The 20,216-nt window shown below is 35.8% G+C and overlaps 1 protein-coding gene and 1 pseudogene across 29 annotated transcripts in view; both read right to left on the minus strand.

Moving 5' to 3' along the window:
• WDFY3 (WD repeat and FYVE domain containing 3) overlaps positions 1-20,216 on the minus strand; it is a 297,094-nt gene that overhangs the window by 205,209 nt on the left and 71,669 nt on the right. For 2 of the 29 annotated variants that reach the window (XM_047449851.1, XM_005262858.6), the window contains exon 4: positions 4,601-4,689. The exons of the other annotated variants lie outside the window; for them this stretch is intronic. The gene's annotated coding sequence lies outside the window, so the exon portion shown is untranslated. The remainder of the gene's footprint in view (positions 1-4,600; positions 4,690-20,216) is intronic. 29 annotated transcript variants of the gene reach the window in all.
• On the minus strand, positions 11,581-11,681 carry RNU6-469P (RNA, U6 small nuclear 469, pseudogene; annotated as a pseudogene).

The raw sequence follows: 20,216 nt of genomic DNA on the forward strand, positions 1-20,216 counted from the left end.
AGTGCACTGTTAGGCAATTTTGTCTTTGTGCAAACATCAGAAAGTGCACATACAAAAACCTAGATGGTTTAGCCTACTACAAACCTAGGCTATATGGTATAGCCTATTGCTCCTAGGTACAAACCTGTACAGCATGTTGCTGTACTGAATACTATAGGCAACTGTAACACAATGGTATTTGTATATCTAAACACAGAAAATGGCCTGTAATCCCAGCACTTTGGGAGTCCGAGGCGGGCAGATCATGAGGTCAGGAATTTGAGACCAGCCTGGCCAACATGGTGAAACCCCGTCTCTACTAAAAATACAAAAATTAGCCAGGCATGGTGGCACGCGCCTGTAGTCCCAGCTACTCAGGGGGCTGAGGCAGGAGAATCGCTTGAACCCAGGAGGTGGAAGTTGCAGTTAGCCGAGATCACGCCACTGCACTCCAGCCTGGGGTACCGAGCAAGACTCAAACACACACACACACACACACACACACACACACACACACACACAGAACATACAGTAAAAATACTGTAGAAAGATAAAAAATGGTACACCTGCACAGAGCACTAGTTATGAATGGAGCTTGCAAGACTGCAGTTGCTCTGGGTGAGTCAGTGAGTGAGCAGTGAATGAACGTGAAGGCCTAGGACATCTGAATACATTGTAGACTTTATAAACACTGTACACTGAGGTTACACTAAATTTATAACAAAATATGTTTCTTTCTCCAATAATAAATTAACTTCAGCTTACTGAAACTCTTACTTTATGAACTTTCAAACTTTCAAATTTTTAAAAAAACTTTTGGACTCTTAGAATAACACGTAGCTTAAAACACAAACACACTGTACAGTGGTACAAAAATGTTTTTTCTTTATATCATTATTCTATAAGCATTTTTATATTTTAATTTTGTTCTAAGTTTTAAAACATTTTTGTTAAAAAAGACACCAACACACATATTAGCCAAGGCTTGCACAGGGCCAAGATTATCAATATCACTGTCTTCCTCCTCCATATCTTGTCTCACTGGAAGGTCTTCAGGGACGATAACCCATATGGAGCTGTTATCTCCTATGATAACAATGCCTTCTTCTGAGTACCTCCTGAAGGACCTGCCTGAAGCTGTCTTACAGTTAGTTTTCTTTTTATAAGTGGGAGTATCCTCTAAAATAAAGATTAAAAGTATAGTATAGTAACTACATAAACCAGTAACATGGTAATTTATTATCATGTATTACATGATTTATATGCATGTGTTATATACTATACATAATTGTATGTGCTATACTTTCATACAACTGGCAGCATAGAAGGCTTGTTTACACCAGCATCACCATGAACACGTGAGTTGTGCTTTGTGCTACGGTATTACAACACTTATGACATCACTAGGTGACAAGAATTTCCCAGCCTCATTATAGTCTCTGGGAACACCATCATATATGCCGTCTGTTGTTCACCAACATATCATTATGTACTGCATGCCTGTAGTCTGTTACAGAATATTCATCATTAAGAGAGACAGTATAACATATTAGTTACACAGGCTTTGCAATTAATTGTATTACTAACTATTTAACCTCAAGTCAGATACGTTCTGTGTGTAAGATTCCTTATCTGGAAAAAAAGAATAATTATCAGAACCTAACTCATGGTGTTATTTGTAGAAATTAGGTAATTTATTACATGGAAAGCACTTAGATTAGTATTTGGCACAAGTGCTCAGTAAGAGAGGGCTATTATTACTGTTATTCTACCGTAATGTACATTTACCAGTAAATGGTTATTTATTCCCATTAGCAATAATTTTCTCAATAAAGAGAACCAAATCTTATTTAAGTTTGTATCCTTAGTTCATAGTAAGTGGTTGGTGAATAATAAATGTTAAAAAAAAAAAACTTACATAGAGTTATGTAACTGGTAAGTGACAGCACTAGATTTTCTGTTCAGATATTCTGAGTTCTGGGTGTGTATTTTACTGTTTCTCACAAAAACTTACATATTACAACATGAAAAAATGTTTAAGCTTACAATTTACGTATCCTAGTTCTCATCCTAAAGAAAGCTTTTGCAGGACATCTTACGTATCTCCTGATAAAAATTACATTAATCATTTGTTCTAAATTGAAAAGTTACCAACTTGCTTAGAGATAATTTCATGCTATTAAATTATCAATATCTTGCATCAAACTATAAATTCCTTGAAAGAAGGCTACGCTCTCCAAATCCTTTAACATATAGCTAAGTATCTGGTACATAGCAGAACTGAAGGAATATATGTATGATTGATTCTCATAACTTTAAGGAAAAGTACAAATTTTAAGGCTCTTTATTATCTAGCCCCTGCATAGGCCTGACGTTCTTCATGCCCTACTATTCTACTTTAACCACACCCGTCTACTGCAGGCCTCCTTGCTCTGCCTGCACGCACCCTGAGCCCTCTCCTGGGGGCTCTCCCCGTCTGGCTCTTCTACATCCAGATGATTATGAATCATCCTTTAAATCTGAGCTCAACTGTCCCTCTTCTAAGAAGCTTTCCAGCTTTCCTTTGTTGTTGTTTTTCTCATTCTGTTGCCCAGGCTGGAGTGCAGTTACATGATCAGGGCTCATTGCAGCCTCCATCTCCTGGGCTCAAACCATCATCCCACCTCAGACTCCCAGCTAATTGTTTTATTTTTTTATAGAGATGGGGTCTCACTATGTTGCCCAGGCTGGTCTCAAACTCCAGGCCTCAAGTGATCCTCCCACCTTGGCTTCCCAAAGAGTTGGAATTAAAGGTGTGAGCCACTGTGCCTGGCTGAAAGCATTCCTGAATCTCCCAGTCTGACAGATGCCTCACCGTCTTGGTTCCCATAGCATCCTGTGTACATCTTTATCATTGCATTTATCACATCATGTAACTGTTGTTTTGACTGTCTTTTTCAACACCAGACAATGTAAGATTATGGAAGGCAAAGGTCATATCCTATTCAACTTTTTTTTCCTGAATACCTGACATGGTACCTGACAAATAAGAAATGGACAAAAAAATGATTCATAAATGAGTAAACGGTGCTGAATAAGAGTTTAGAAGATAAATGATTTAGAGGCAGCTCAAGGACTAGTTAAGGTGATTTAAAATAGACCAAAGGGGGCAAATTTTTTCTTTAAATTTCTTATCTGTTTATTTTAAAACAAGAAAACTTAGAAGACAACTTTGTTTTTTATGGTTTGTTTAAAATCAATTACATAACTAACAAAAATGACCATTTTTGTTAAGATTGTTGGGTACCCCATAATGTACTTTTTAAAACATGTTCAGTTAAAACTGATATAAATTCAGAAAATAAGAACTATTTAAGAGAAGGCAGGGGCAGAAGGAAAAAAATTACTAACAGAGAGTTAGGTTTGGGTGGTAAACAGATGATGACAAAAGGCAATAAGCCAGAATCCTCCGCTGGAAATTCAAGCATCAACAACATACTGAGGACAAGGAACATCCCAAAGAGGAAAACAGCTCACTAGTGTCATAAGAAATCATGACTGAATGAGGCTGGAATGTATGTTAAGACCTAAAAGTGATCAAAGGAAAATGACAAATGCCAAAAGATTGTGCAGAATTACACTGGTAAAACCTCACAAATGAAAAAAATATGAATAAAGCAATGATATCAACAAAAATAATAATGGTAAAATAGATGTTGGCTTCTTCACAGATTAATTATACTATTGATTAATTAGAATGAGGAGTTTTATTGTTATTTTACATTTTTCACAAAATATCAAAATTTATACATCCAAATGAATTTTGCTCTTCCAATTAGTTATGTTGGAAAGCTATGTATACATAATGATGTTGACATGGTTCGAAATGCTTTAAAAAATTCCTCTCTACAAACTGCTTTAAGAGCATTTTGTAAGCTACATCTTAAAATCCGTATCATCATACATCACGTGTTACCAAAAATGGAATTTCCCAGTGTACTCATGTGCTTTAGTTTCAAAACTTCCTCAAAATATCTTCTGCCTGTTACTAAATGTCAAATCCATTTAAAAGATTGAAAATTCACCACTAATAACCAAAAGGCTGCACTGCACACTCTGTGTTTGCATCCCCACCTGTAATAGCATTGCTGAAATTTAATTCCTTAAGTGTCTACTATATATAAGGAACTAAGGGAATGCCGACTTCAGTTTTTACTCTGCCGATAATGTGGCTATATTCATTTTCCTAAAATTTCAAACAGATCAGAATACAACTTTCCTTAAAAGTGACAACAATGGCTGCAATGGACTAGAGACAAAACTTTTGCAAGGTATAAAAAGGCTGCTCAAAATCTGGTGGGTCCCTAATTTTGAAGCTGTATCTTCTGCCCTAGCCCTCCCCTCATCCCATGCTCATACCACATCACCTATCTGCTGTTCCCTGGACACACCATGCAATTTCAAACCCTTGATGCTTCTCCCAGATGGTCTTTGTTTGAAATAACAGATTTTTCTACTACATGGCTACCTATCATAGGTAGTTCATGACTGTATTTAATCTTAAAGCAATGTGAACACAGCTATATAGTAGTAACTTGATCATTGATTCAAAGAAATATTTATCAACTCACTCCCAACCCACCTGAATTTCTCTCTGTTCCAGCCACGACTAGCTCTACTTTCAGCAGCTTATATTCACTATGTTCTTGTCACCACAGCAATTGAAGACATCTGAAGACATTAATTTGAAAAGCAAATCTTTAAAAATGTTTAGAAGAAAATGCTGGAAAGTACAACCTCAGGTTAAGGAAGAAATGTCTTAAAATGAAACAAAACAAAAATTATACATACACACACACACACACACACAAAATTGGCCTTATCAAAATTAACTTCTGTACATCAAAATAAAAAAAAAGTAAACACAAGCTAGAAATTGGGAGAGAAATATTTGCAACATCTATAATGAACAAAAAAGCATTACATTCAAAATATGCGAAGAATGTCTTCAAGTCAATGAGAGAAAGGCAAACAACCCAATAGAAAAATGAACAAAAGACAAATAGGCATTTCACAGAAAAGGAAACATGAATGGCCACAAAAATATGAAAAGCTACACAACCTTGTTAGTCATAAATGAAATGCAAATTAACATAACAACGAGTTAACGTTTGTGTGAGGCAGAATAATGGCCCCTAAAGACGTCTCTACTACATCCTAATCTCTAGAACCTGTATGTTACATTATGTGGCCAAAAGGACTTTGCAAATGTGATTAAGTAAAGGGCCTTGCAATGGGGAGATTATTCTATATTGTTTGAGCAAGCTTGAAATAATCACAAAGAAGGAGTCAGGAGAGAGAAGGAGATGTGACCAGGAAGCAGAGGTTGGAGTGATATGGACATCAGCCAGGAATGAGGGTAGCCACTGGAAGATGAAAAAGGCAAGGAACAGATTCTCCCCTAGAGCGTCCAGAAAGAATGCAGCTCTATGAACACCTTGATTTTAGCCCTGCAAGACCAGTTTTGGACTTCTGACCTCCAAAATTGTAAGACACTAAGTTTGTAATGTTTCAAGTAAGAACATGGTCATTTGTTACAAGAGCAATAGGACATCAATATACTATTGTGTATCAAAAATCAAATGTGACAATACCAAATTAGTAAAGATGTGAACAAATGGGTTATAAATGTTAGTAACAGTGTTTATGGATTGGCATTATCTGGTTGGAATTATCTAGTAAAATTGACCATATACAGATCATACGAATCAGCAATTCCACTTAGGTACATGCCCTAAGGAAACTCACATATATGTAGAAGGAGACGTATAAAGTAACATCCATAAGCAACATTGATTAAATTGTAAAAACCTGAAAATAATAAAAGTGTTTGTCAATAAGGGAACCATACATATATATATATATATATATATATATATATATATATATATATATATATATATGTTTTTTTGGAGACAGAGTCTTGCTCTGTTACCCAGGCTGGAGTGCAGTGATAGGATCTCGGCTCACTGCAACCTCTGCCTCCTGGGTTCAAGCAATTCTCATGCCTCAGCCTCTCGAGTGGCTGGGATTACAGGCATGCACCACCATGCCCAGCTAATTTATTTATTTATTTTTTAGTAGAGAGGGGGTTTCGCCATGTTGACCAGGCTGGTCTTGAACTCCTGACCTTAAGTGATCCGCCCTCCTCGGCCTCCCAGATTGCTGGGATTACAGGTACGACCCACTGTGCCCAACCTGATGGTAAGTCTTACTGAGCTTCTTCAATTGTTTGTCACATATACACTCAATTGATGTTTTTCAATATAGCCTTATTCAAGATTTCTATTTAATAGCCTTGTTCAAGATTTGTAATTTTTTACCATACATACGCATCAATTGCTTAATATTACATCACATACTTTTATTTTAATCCTTCTATTTCAATCTGTGTATTATTCTCTTCATTCACAGACTGCATGGGAACATGAGACTCATTTGTGGTTATTTGATAGCAAATAACGTATCTCCCTGTGAATTATTTTCTTAAATCTAAAGAATAAGAAAAAAAACTACCCTTGCTTCACCTCAAATATACCATAAAGATAAACAAATAAAGCAATACAGTTATTTCTGAAAGTACTTTGCAAGAAAGACGGCCACATCTTGGGCAAATACTCTTCCTTTCACCAAATCTTTTTCTCTTTTCCTCAGCCTGTCAAATTACATTCCTTTTATTTTGAGGGCTGAATTCAAATGTCTTTGTTTTCCAGGAAACAACCTAATTGGCCTCTAACTAGAATATGATCGTTACAATCATTAAAAAAAAAAAAGATTGTTAAGCCAGGTGCAGTGGCTCACGCCTGTAATCCCAACACTTTGGGAGGGCGAGGCAAGCTGATGGCTTGAGCTCAGGAGTTCGAGACCAGCCCGGGAAACATAACAAGACCCCGCCTCTACTCAAAATACAAAAGAATAGCCAGGCATGTTGTTGTACATCTGAGGTCCCAGGTTGAGGTAAGAGGATCGCTTGATCCCAAGCGGTGCGTGAAGGATGCAGTGAGCTGAGATTGTGCCACTGTACTCCAGCCTGGGTGAGAGAACGAGACCCTGTCTCCAAAAAAAAAAAAAGATTATTAAGATCTATTATTAAGATCTACTTTTCTGTTTCTGTTTTAAAGTATGTACATTCGTATGGTCGTATTTATACTCAACTATAAGGACATGAGAAACATTATCTCATGCAATCTTCAAAACATTGTTAGTAAGTAGTATGAATGGGACTTGAAGTCATGCCTTTTGACAGCTCTTTGCTCTCTGTAAGAATGCCTGTTATGTCTGTGCTATCATCTCATATCCGCTCATCCCAAATTCACATATAATCCTCATCACCTAGAAAAACAAGCACTGAGTATCCACATCAAGGCTCTCAGTCAACAGCCAATATTCTAGTTTGGTCCCATTTGAGGCTATTTCTCGCCCTACCACAGGTATAATAAAAGCATGTTAGGATTTATGGAGAGTATCTCCAATAAGTGCACAGCTCCACCACCACTCCTTGAAGATGAATCTGGCGTGAGGTCAGTAATCTGTTTCTTTATATTCAACTTTTAGTGGCTAGCACAGTACCTGACACACTGAAGATGCTTAACGAATAGACGGATAAATGGATGGATAGAATGAAGCAGAGACTCTTCCTGCTGACACACCTAACTTATCTTTTCCACAAATTCCTCTATTCAAATTATTTTAAATTATATGTATATTATGTATATATAATCTGCTCTTTATGTATTTTTTAGGGATATATAAATGAAAAAGATTAGGAAACTTATGAAATTCCTAAACACACTTTAAAATAAAAGGTGATACTAATATGACTATCAGGGACACAAAAATTACTTGTCAGTGGATTTATACCCTTTGTTAATCAGAGTATTATTGTTTCACCTATATTTTTTTTTTTTTTGAGACACAGTGTCATTCTGTCACCCAGGATGGTATGCATGGCATGATCAGAGCTCACTGAAGCCTCGACCTCCTAGGCTCAAGTGATCCTCTCACCTCAGCCTCCTGAGTAGCTGGGACTACAGGTATGCACATGTGGCTCATTTTTTCAGTTTTTGTAGAGTTGGGGTCTCACTACGTTGCCCAGGTTGGTGTCAAACTCTGGGCTAGAGCGATCCTCCCACCTTGGACTCCCAAAGTGCTGGGATTATAGGCATGAGCCACCGTGCCTGGCCTCCCTTATAATTTTTGAATTAAATAGTCTACAAACGAAATATAAAAGTGTATTTATATTCTCATGGCTGGGGGAATACATTCTCACTAAAGGAGTTGAAGAGTGGAGGGGTAGACGAAAAGGAGAGCAAAAAACTATGTGTATCTGTCCTTCCACCATATCAAAATGTAAGAATGATTACTATCATTAGACATGTCCTAATTACATCATTTCTCTGTTGATCACATGTAGCCTATTTTAAAAAATGCCTTTGGGGAAGAATCAGAAGAGAAATGTTATTCTTATCAGTTAGCTTTTTAATATATTAGGTAAATCTATCTGAAACAGTGACAATATTTGAAATATGTGGCTTCTCTAATTTCTGGGGAAATAAGTAACTGAAGTGAATAATTCTCCAAGTGTAAATCAGTTTACCATATTTTTCTTGGTAAGTCTCATCATCTTCTTAGAAGGAAAGCAATGTCATAAAATATAAAATACTACCTTGAATAAACTGGCACAGAACCCCTCTGGCAGTGAGGAACTATTTCCTAGGCTTATTTATTTTTATAACATTCCATAATAAGACCTAATTCATATTATTTTGAAGAGCAATCTAAAAGAGTAATGCCTTTTATATCATTACTGAAGGATTAAGCATACCTAGCTGTTATTTTCATTCTACTTGTCTCCTTTTACATTTTACAATTAACACCTCAACTAGAGCTGGGGAAAAGGGAAAGACTATAAAACTGAAATCTTCTAGTTGAAATATTTGCTAGGAGGTTTAGCATTTGGAGGTTAAAATTAAGTTTCTCATCTACTTATTGTATTTCCAATATCTAGGCTTTTGAATTCAGTGGCTTAAACACAAAATACAAACTACATGAAATAAATGTTTCCATATAAAGACCTAACTACCCCTAAAAAGCAGACGTAACGTTCTATTTAATGATCAAAATAAAATATATATGTATGTTTGTGGTGTCTCAAAATTACATGCTAAAAATTACAATTTGAATTGAGAATATTTTTCAGGTAGGGAACAAAGAATGCAAAGACTTGGGACTCAAAAAGCTATAGATTACTTTTTAGTTTTTCTTTCTTTGTGAAATTACACAAAACAAAGTCATTCTATGGTCAAAACTGAGTCACGCCAAGACATTTAGTTGATTTTGGTTTATGCATATATTTATGTTCCTAGTAGAACATACACTAAGTCATTCAAAAATATTGAGAGCTATACCAGTGTTGATTACTTAAAATATTTCAACTTGTTTTTTAAAGCAACCTATTTCTAATGTGAAACTTATTATTGATCTAGGTTTTTTTTTAATATTCACTTGATTTTAATTTTTGACTGATTTAAAAATGTTCATACCATTTAATATACACTTAGAGTATATATACACTTGTACTCTCAGACTTCAGAGAAAAGAATAACTCATTTAATTTCAAATCCAGATGTCTCCTGAAAAGCAAAATCTAACACTTAAATAACATGGGAAAAAAGAGACCCTGAAGAAATTACATTTAATTACAATTAAAGAAATTGATCAAGAATTAACAATACATATATCTCAAGGATCATAATGGTTACTAGTTAAAAGTGTTAAACATAATTTAAATGTACTTAGGAAACATAACAGGTAACAATGATCACGAAACTTGAAAATTAAATTATATAATTTTTAGACTTTGAAAATAATCTTCTACCAAACCATGGTAATAAAATCAGTGGCAGAATGGTATAACAACAAACTGACCAAGGTAGAGGTGAGAAATCTCAGAGGCAGACCCATATATCTAATCAGAACCAAACATGTGATAATTGTCACAGAAAACGGTATATAACAATCATGTAAATGGTACTGAGAAACTAACTCACTAATTTTAGAATACAATTAAACTAGACTCCTCTCTAAAGTCACATACGGAGGTGCGTTCAAAATGGATTAAAGATCCAAGTATGAAAGGTAAACTATACAGCTAATAGAAGAACATACATATTCTTTGTTGTTGTTGTTGTTGTCTGAGGTGAAGTCTCACTCTGTCACCCAGGCTGGAATGCAATTGCATGATCTCAGCTCACTGCACCCTCCGCCTCCTGGGTTCAAGCAATTCTCCTGTCTCAGCCTCCTGAGTAGCTGGGATTACAGGCGTGCACCACCATGCCTGGCTAATTTTTTTTTGTATTTTTGTAGAGATGGGGATTCCACCATGTTGGCCAGGCTGGTCTTGAACTCCTGACCTCAAGTGATTCACCCGCCTTGGCCTCCCTAAGTGCTGGGATTACAGGAGTGAGCCACCACGCCTGGCAAATATATACATACATACATATACATATGTGTGTGTGTGTGTGTGTGTGTGTGTGTGTGTGTGTAAAATGAATCACGTAAGAACTCTAACAGGATAAATTCAAAATCACTTACCGTATATAAAAATAAAATGATGAATGTAATTACTTCAAAATTAAATATTTTGGCTTAGAAAGGAACACTGTAAGCCAACAAAAAAAGAGAGAACACAATAGAAGATATTTAAAATATCCAAAACTGACAAGAATTAGAATATAGAATTTACAAGTAATGCAACAAGAAAAATACAGCAATCCCACTGGAAAAAAGGCGAAAAATATGAACAAGGAATCTGGAAGGCCATTAAACACAGAGGTGTTAGAGGTGTTTTAATTTAATTAGTATTCAGAGCAATACAAATTGAAACAAAATGCCACGTTGCACCTAATAGATTAGCAACAATCAGAAAGCTGGAAAATGCTGTGTCCTTAGACATGTGGACAGAAACTACACACATGACTAGTGAGAAAATGAACTGGATCTAAAGGGCAATTTTGCATCGTTTGGAATCTTGCATTCCTCTTCTACATCTACACTCTGAAGAAATTCTCTCATTGGAAGCAATTTTTTGGAAGCTACTTAAGTGGTCCATCACTGAGCAAAAGAACAGGCAAACCAAAGTTGATATACAACTATATATAGTTATTTAAAAGTATACATTTCAGATCCATTTAAGTTGGACACGTCTTAGAAACATAGTGATGGGTAAAAAAAATTAAAAAATAAGATGAAATACATTACAATGTAACTTTTGGAAATTAAAAATACATGGACAGAAAGCAAACATTTTACATGGACACATATTAACAAAAGACAACATTAACTACTTTAAAATGGTTGTATCTGTCCTTCATTAAATTTATAGGTCTTTAATAATTACTTTGCAATACTTCTGAATTTAGTTCAACCCTAAAAATCACTGTTTTATATAAAAATATATTTACATTAACAACTAAAATTAAATACTTATATACCAACCAATTCATTTCTTAAGTTAGTCTCAAGTGAACCACATTTATTTGTTTATTTCTTCTTTTTTTTTTTCCTTTAATGGAATGCTTCACGAATTTGCATGTCATCCTTGTGCAGGAGCCATGCTAATCTTCTCTGTGCTGCGAATGTGAGCACAATTGAACCATGTTTAAATCAGATACATGTATTTTTTTCTAAAGTGATTCTTAGCTATTTATCATCAACACAGCCATTTTGGTCCTTTTAATCCTCTGACACAAAAAAAATTCCTTAAAATAAATTTCATCTGCTTAGCAAGTAACATGAAAAATATATGTATTTGTAGGAATATTTAGAGAGGGAAGGAAGGAAGGGAGGAAGGGAAGGAGGGAACTGGTTTTTCAATAGGTATTAGATATTAAATAAATTGCACAACATTTAATAGCAAAATAAGTCTGAGTCTCTTCCAGTCTTCAGACAAACCTACCCATGGTCTCCAACAACAAAAAGTCATGCTGGGAATACCAACATTGTTCTGGTAGTGTTCAATACCCTAGATTTGCCTCTAATAAAAATAGAGCAATTTCCTATTAGTATTTTGGAGTCATCACAACTTTGGCATAATCTCTCAGTCTTCTTATGAATATATGATGAAAATTATGGTACAGAATGATCACTTTTACACTATAATATTCTGAAACATTAATAATGTATAAAACATCAACCATTATGCTGAGTAGGTGCTTGGGATACAGTGGTACATATCAACAACCTGGAACATGTGGCATTTACACCATGTGCCAGGAAATGACAATTCATTTAAGATAGACATGATATCTGACCTCGTGGAGTTTAGAAACTGAGTGGTAGCAAAGATTATGAAGAATGATAAAGGCTATGCATGTTATACCAGGGAAACACAGGAAGGCTGGGGAAAAGTACATCAGGGAAACCTAATCTAGCTTCAGGGAGGTGGGGCTGTGGGGAAGAAGAGTGTTAGGAAAGAGAAGCACATTTTTAAAAGATCGTCAATTACAGAAGAAAACAAATGAATTTCACTGGCCTATCCTAAGACCATTCTAGCCAATCAGATTTTTGCAGCTTGGTTTCTGCCCATTGGCTTGTAATCAGTATTTCCAAGTGTAAAACACCAGCCATTCTTTCCTTGAATCATTTTAAGTCTAAGGGGACAGCATCAGTAATTAGCAGCTCAGGCTGGAGTTAATCCCTAAGGAACTCTCATTTCCTGCCTCTATGTCAGTTTTCGTCCAGGAAATATAGCCTTAATATCCATAGCCAAGTACAATGCTAGGTATTTTCACAAAAATTTATTCATTTATTTCCTACCACAAAATGGTATGCCTACTTTATACATTTAAAATATGGAAGCTCAGAGTTTAAGCAGCTTGCCAAAAAGATCCAACAACTAGCATTAGCTAAAATTTGAATTCAAGACATATAAGTCCAAATCCAGTACTCTTTTATTAAATGGAAGCTCTTTGTCTTTATGAAATACCTTTACTTATGAAAGCAATGGCAATTTTATTTTCTGGTTGTTCCTACCAAAGATAGTACTATTTGTTCTTCCTTAAAACATTTGGACAAAATGATCAAGTATTTTTGTCCCCAAGAATTAAAAAAGAAAAAACCCACAAAACCCATGTTTACTTTGTGTATCTTCCACCAAGGGTGTAACCAGATTGGTGACAAGAAATATGACTCATGAGCGGTATCTTGGCAAAGAATTCTTAGCATCTCTAGATACATCTGACACATAGGGGAAATGTTACATACATGTAACTACATTTTCTTTTCCTTTGAGGATCTCCCGCTATCTTTAATTCAAATCTGCCACAATCCTAACACATGCCTCAATATTAAATATAGAATAATATTCAGAATATTAAGGAAATCATTTCTTGGAAGAATTTTTCAAAGGCAAATACGAATAAAAAACTATTGTTGAGGTAGTCATGGTGGCTCGTGCCTGTAATCCCAGCACTTTGGAAGGCCAAGGCGAGAGGACTGTTTAAGCCCAGAAGTTCCAGATTATAGTAAACTATGATTGTGACTATTAGCAATTAAACACAGCAATGTATTATGTCATTTAATGAGTTATGAGCAATTCTTTTATTAATGAGAAAATGAGATAATAACTTTAGAAAAAAACTCCAATATCAAGAGTACTTAACTATTAACCTTATTCTTCTGTGAATAAAATAATATACTTTCATATTATTTTCCAAAATGATGACTTTTGATTTAAAAAAGATACTCAGGTTCCATAAAGTTTTTTTCTTGCATATCCACTAAAATGTAAATGCAAAATATTTCTGCTTTCATCTACTGTTCTTACCTTTTGCTAAATGAAGCTAAACTAAATAGCGGTGTGTTAGATCCAGCTTGTACCAGCTTATGAGAGCCGATGGCTAAATTTTCAGAAATTTTGGACATCCAGCTGTCAAACTACAAATAGCTTGGGACTAACCAAGGTGAGAATATTTGCAACACAGGAATCAGCAAACACTAAAAATTGGGGCTTTTTTTTTTTTTCTTGGCTAGCTGGTTGTTATAAAGCTTGTCAGTATATCAGCACTGTGCTTAGGCCACACTAGTGCTTCAGAAGCTTGTATTTTTTATCTTCTTTTCTTCTCTTCTTTACTTCTCTTTTCCTGTAAACACTGATTTTATGCTTTTATTTTTTCCCCAAAGGCCTTGCCTTGAAAATACTTAGACTACTTCAAAAAGTTCAGATATTGTGACTAACGATCTAAAGTAAAAATATTTTTTCACCAAAATATTCTCACAGAAAGTGTATCCCTGAATCTTGTCTGATTGGCCTGATTTATCGTATTCTACTACTTTAAAAGCAATGTCTCTATTTCTTGTCAGGGTGCTAAGAGCAAATTTTTATTCCCTCCAGTGAATATTGTGCTTGAAGCTTATACATGTATTCCTCATAAAACATAAATGCATAATATTATCCATACTAAAATGTGTGCAGTCTTTTGTCTGAGCAATATATTTTGTGCATGATATTACACATCTGCAGAGACCTTTTGCATTAAACTACGAATCGTTATGCAAAAATAGAAGACAAAATTGATTAGTTCCCTTTTACAGAAGAAGAAATAAAGACAGGTTGAAATTTCTGTAAAGGCAATGAAACTAAGAAACAATGTTTAAATAGTCTCAATATGTGATTAAAAAAAATTCTGGTTTGATTCACAAAAATGCTGCATTACAGGGACAAGCAATAGACTAGCAAGAATAGGCGGCAGCAAAAAAGTTCTGGTGTCAGGCAGATATGAATTTCAAATTCTGTTCCTATGAATTTCAAATTCTGTTCCTCCATTCACTATCTATGTGACGTCAGGAAAAGTAAATCAAACTACCCTAAGCTACATTTTCCTTAATAGTAAATGGAGATGAGTATGATACTGGCTTTATAATGTTGTAAGAAAAGAGAGTCAGAATATATGTGATATGACTACCACATGGAAGGCAATCAATGTTTAGTTATGACATGATTAGAATTGGTCACTGCAAAACCAACCAATGACTGAATTGGAATTAAGAAAAAAAATTAATCATTTCAATAAAAAAAGAGTATGTTCCAAATTCTTATAGCCAGTATATGATAAATATGGTGGGGATTGCAGCTCAAGATCCATCGTACCTTGCTCCTGTAATGGGCTTTCATGTATTACAGAGGCTATAAAACAAAATAAGCAAGGTTTCCACAGACTCCTATGCAAATAGGTTCTTGTTGCAATTTAGGTTCAGCCAATCAAACTTACTTGCCCCAGCTTTTTTTTATTTTTTTTTAACTAGTGTCTCACTGTAACTCAGGCTGGAGTACAGTGGCACGACCATGGCTCACTTCATCCTCAATCTTCCAGACTCAGGCAATCCTCCTGCCTCAGCCTCCTGAGTAGCTGGTACTACAGGTACACATCAACATGCCCAGCTAATTTTTGTATTTTTTGTAGAGACAGAGTTTCACTATGTTGCCCAGGCTGGTCTTGAACTCCTGAGCTCAAGATATCCACCTGCCTTGGCCTCCCAAAGTGCTGGGATTACAGGTGTGAGCCACCACACGTGGCCTTGCCCAAGCTTTGAAAAGGAGAAGTGAAGCAGAGACCACACTGTCAATGATATACATACATTTTTTACCTGCAGTGTTGGACAGAGATCCTAGTACCCAGTAATTATCCTGCTGGCTGCTGGGAGGCAGTGCATGTCACATCTATTTGCCTGGTCATAATAGTTACAGTATGACTGGAGCAAGCAGCAGTAGAGGCAGCTTTCTGCCTCTGAACTGTGTGTGGCACTGAACTGTGTGTTCTAGAGCCGGGGTTGAGAAATTTCTCAGTTAAGGGTCAGATAGCAAATATTTTGCCATGCGGTTTCTGTTACAACCTTAACACTGCCACTGTAGCGTGAAAGCAGCCATATATAATAGGTAAGTGAGCATGTATTGCTGTGTTCAAATAAATACTGACATTTGAATTTCACATTTTTTTCATTTTTAATTGGAGAAAGTATTTTGTTATGTTGTCCAGGATGGTCTCAAATGCCTGGCCTAAAGCAATCCTCCTCCCACTTTGGGTTCCCAAGTAGCTGGGACTACACTACAGGTGCCTACCACTGTGCCCATTGTGAATTTATTAATTTTAAGTGCCACAAAACATTATTTTTCTTTTGATTTTTTCAAATATTTAAAAATATAACAACCATTCTTAGTTTGTAAGACATAGACAAGCAGGTGATAGGCCAGACTTTGCCCGCAGGCCATAGTTTGCCACCCTACAACAGTCTCCTGATCCACACAGACAGCCGCAGCTCCCTTAGAAACCAGTGTTGAGGTATACCACTGGGAGATGTTTTTAAAGTTTAACCATGAGCCCAAAATCTGTTTCGTCTGCCCTTTCCTCTCTTCCATGATTTTGTAAGCCACTAATGCCATGTAATAAGTATTTTCCTGCGTAAACTGCTAGACCAAATTTTATTCTCTGCAACTAAATCCTGACTGATTCATAGTGCTACATATATATAAGCACTTTTTATTTTCAACCAAAAAAAAAGAAACCCTTATTATCTTTCAGGTGTACACCATAAAATATTCATTTACAAATTAATTTTAATGCATTAAAAATATGAGTTTACAACTAAAAAACTATACACAACAGAATGCCATTTTAAGAATACACTATTAAATTGAAATTTATTTCAAACTAGGAGCATAAACCACCTAATCCACAAGAATCTACAGATTCCGCAGAACACCATGATAAATATAAGAAAATGCCTAAATAATAATTTGAAAGTATTTATTATGTTTGAACCACAAAAATAAAAAATTATATAATGGGAAAGAAAATCTGTTTACCTCCTTTCAGTGATTAGGGAACCTGCATTAGATTACAGAATGAAAAAGGAGAAAACAGGAGAACTCAAAGGACATTTTGCTTATGGAAACTCTACTTTTTGTTTTTAGGGAAGCATAACTACATCTCCAAAGTCTATGATGGCTCTAGAGTATCTTAAGTGGCAACTGCATAATCTTTGAGCACTACATTCATTTCTCTCCAGGCATTGAAAAGTCAAATTGGGACAGACCTTCAGTTCACATCAGTAATAGTAGAACTAATCCTTCTTGGAAGGTACAGCACAGAATAACCCTGCAAACAGAAATTGTCTAAAGGTAATTTAGAAAAATGGCCTTCAATTTTTTTTTTTTTTTTTTGCATGCAATCCCTAACATAAGTCAGAATCTTTACTATTTTTAGGTTGATATCTAATACTTTTCAACCTAAGTTTAAAGAGTTACAAAGGATGGCATTATAAGCATTGACAGTTTTAAATAAAATAATTTATCATGTTTTGGAATGTATCCATGGGATCTAAACATAGCGTCACAATCAACATCCTCCATTACATATATATATATTTTTAAGTTATTCTTTAACTGTCAGAAATTTAAACTTATTCTGAATCAAAATTCAGGCTTTATGTAATCTCTTATAAAGTGTGCATGTGTGTGCGTGCATGTGTGTAAGAATCTCCAAAAAAAAAGGACTCTAAAAAAAAGTATTAGGGCTAAATACTTTTTAAAGTATTTTAAAGGTTTTAAAATACTTTTTAAAAAGTAACCATCATTTTGTTAATATCAAATATCCAATGTTCAAAATCTCATAAATGTCATGGTTGATTTTTATAGATATTTCCTATGCATCAGGTTCAAAATAAAGACCACTTATTGCTATTGGCTGATAATGTCTCTTAAGCCTCTCATATAGATCTCCCAGTTTATACTGGGCACAGGAACTCTGTGTTGCCTATTGTTTGCTGAATAATTTATTCAACAAATATTTATTAAGCAACCACTATGTGTCCAGCAATGTTTTAGATGCTAAGAATGTAGAGGAAGAACAGAAGCCTGCTAAAGTCTGTGTCCTTTTGGAGTTTAGATTCTCATGAGACAGAGAATAAAATAAACAAAGAAATCAATTATGTCTGATGGTTATGAAAATAATTCAGTAAGCTTTGGAAATAGAATGTTCCCAGGGTTGCTGTTTCAGTATGCATAGTCAAGGAATGTTTCTCTGAGAAGTTCACAGCAGAACAGAAACCTGAATGAATGAGGGAGCAATCCCTAAGAATTTCTAGGGGAATAAAATTCCAGGCTAAGGAACAAGTAAAACCAAATGGCTTGAAGTGAGATTGTGCTTCACATGGCTGAACAACTGTAATGAAACCAGTAGAGTTGGGGAGCAGAATTAGAGAAGGGGAGAGTGTTAAGCTCTCAAATGTCTGCATTGTGATTCAGTGTTTACTTCTCTTCAGCTGCTTTCCATCAACTGAGACCAAGGAGATGGCTCTATATACTACCTCCTCTATTCTGCTGCTTCTTGCCACTCTTTTCTGCAAAAAAAAGGTACATCTGTGTCTTTCCCTGCAGCTTCGCCCTGCCTGAGACTTTGTAGTCCCCTTGCTACCTACCATGGGAGACTCTGTGCTGTGTTTAAAATCTATAGATATTTGCATACTTCCCAATTTGCTTCAAGGTTCACAATGTTTGGCAGCTCTTCTCATAATCTGAGGTTTGGGATTACTGTTTTCTCCTCACTTCACTTAAGTTAAAAGATTTCTTCCCTATTCTTTATTCTTTTTGTTATGTTCAGTTAGCATTAGGCAGAAGAATAGAATACAAATGTTTTTACTCAGCCATTTTGAATGGAATCCTTTTCCTCACCTACTGATGATAAATTTAGAGTAGGTACACCTACAGAACTTAAATTTCTCAATCTCTACATTTTTTATTTCAATATCTAGATTTTCCTATTTGAAAATCTGAGAAATTCTAGACTACCAACATCTACAGACTTACAACTATTGTTTAAAAAATAGGCTGGGCACGGGGGCTCACGCCTGTAATTCCAAAACTTTGGGAGGCTGAGGCAGGTAGATCATAAGGTCAGGAGTTCAAAACCAGCCTGGCCAAGATGGTGAAACCTCGTCTCTACTAATAATACAAGAAAAAAATTAGCCAGATGTGGTGGCCAGCGCCTGTAATCCCAGCTACTCAGGAGGCTGAGGCAGAGAATTTCTTGAACCCAGGAGGCAGAGGTTGCAATGAGCCGAGGCTGCGCCATTGCACTCCAGCCTGGGCGACAGAGCAAGACTCCGTCTCAAAAAAAAAAAAAATTAGAAAAAGGTAATTTAGCACAGAATCAACTTTAAATGTACATTAAAGACTCTATAAGGAATATAAACTTAGAAACTATAGTAAATTTCTACCATGATCCTTATATTCAAACTAAGGAATAACAAAAGGCAAATAAATGTCCATATTCAAACGGATATGCAATGAAGAGAGAATAAGCAAAATATCAAAACAATATATGTTAAATAAATACAGCATTATTACTTTTGAGAACATAAACTCTGGTTATGTTGATAAAAGCTTACTCTGTTTTCTACTTTAAATAACGGTCAAATTGTCATGTACTTATGTATAAGTGATTTGCATGAAAAGTATTCTGAATCATCTAAGAGTACTTTTTAAAAAGTCAGCTCTTGGCCAGGTGCAGGGGCTCATGCCTGTAATCTCGGCACTTTGGGAGGCTAAGGTGGGCAGATCACTTGAGGTCAGGAGTTTGAGACCATCCTGGCCAACACGGTGAAACCCCATCTCTACTAAAAATTAGGCTGGGCGTGGTGGCTCATGCCTGTAGTCCTAGCACTCTGGGAGGGCGAGGCAGGTGGATCACCTGAGGTCAGGAGTTCGAGAGCAGCCTGGCCAACATAGTGAAACCCTGTCTCTACTAAAAATACAAAAATTAGCCGGGCATGGGGCACACGCCTGTATTCCCAGCTACTCAGGAGGCTGAGACAAGAGAATTGCTTCAACCCAGGAGGCAGAGGATGCAGCGAGCCGAGACTGCGTCACCGCACTCCGGCCTGGGTGACAAAGCGAGACTCAGTCTGAAAAAAAAAAAAAAATTAGCCGGTTGTAGTGGCACACACCTGTAATTCCAGTTATTCAGGAGGCTGAAGCATAAGAATCACTTGAACCTGGGGGGAGGAGATTGCAGTGAGCCAAAATTGCACCACGGCACTCCAGGCTGGGCAACAGAGTGAGACTGTCTCAAAAAAAAAAAAAAAAAAAGTCAGCTTTTTCAAATAGGTAAATATTTTTCTCATAATTGATTAATAAGTTACTA

The sequence above is a fragment of the Homo sapiens genome, chromosome 4, assembly GCF_000001405.40.
Source record: "Homo sapiens chromosome 4, GRCh38.p14 Primary Assembly".
Classification (NCBI taxonomy): Eukaryota; Metazoa; Chordata; class Mammalia; order Primates; family Hominidae; genus Homo; species Homo sapiens.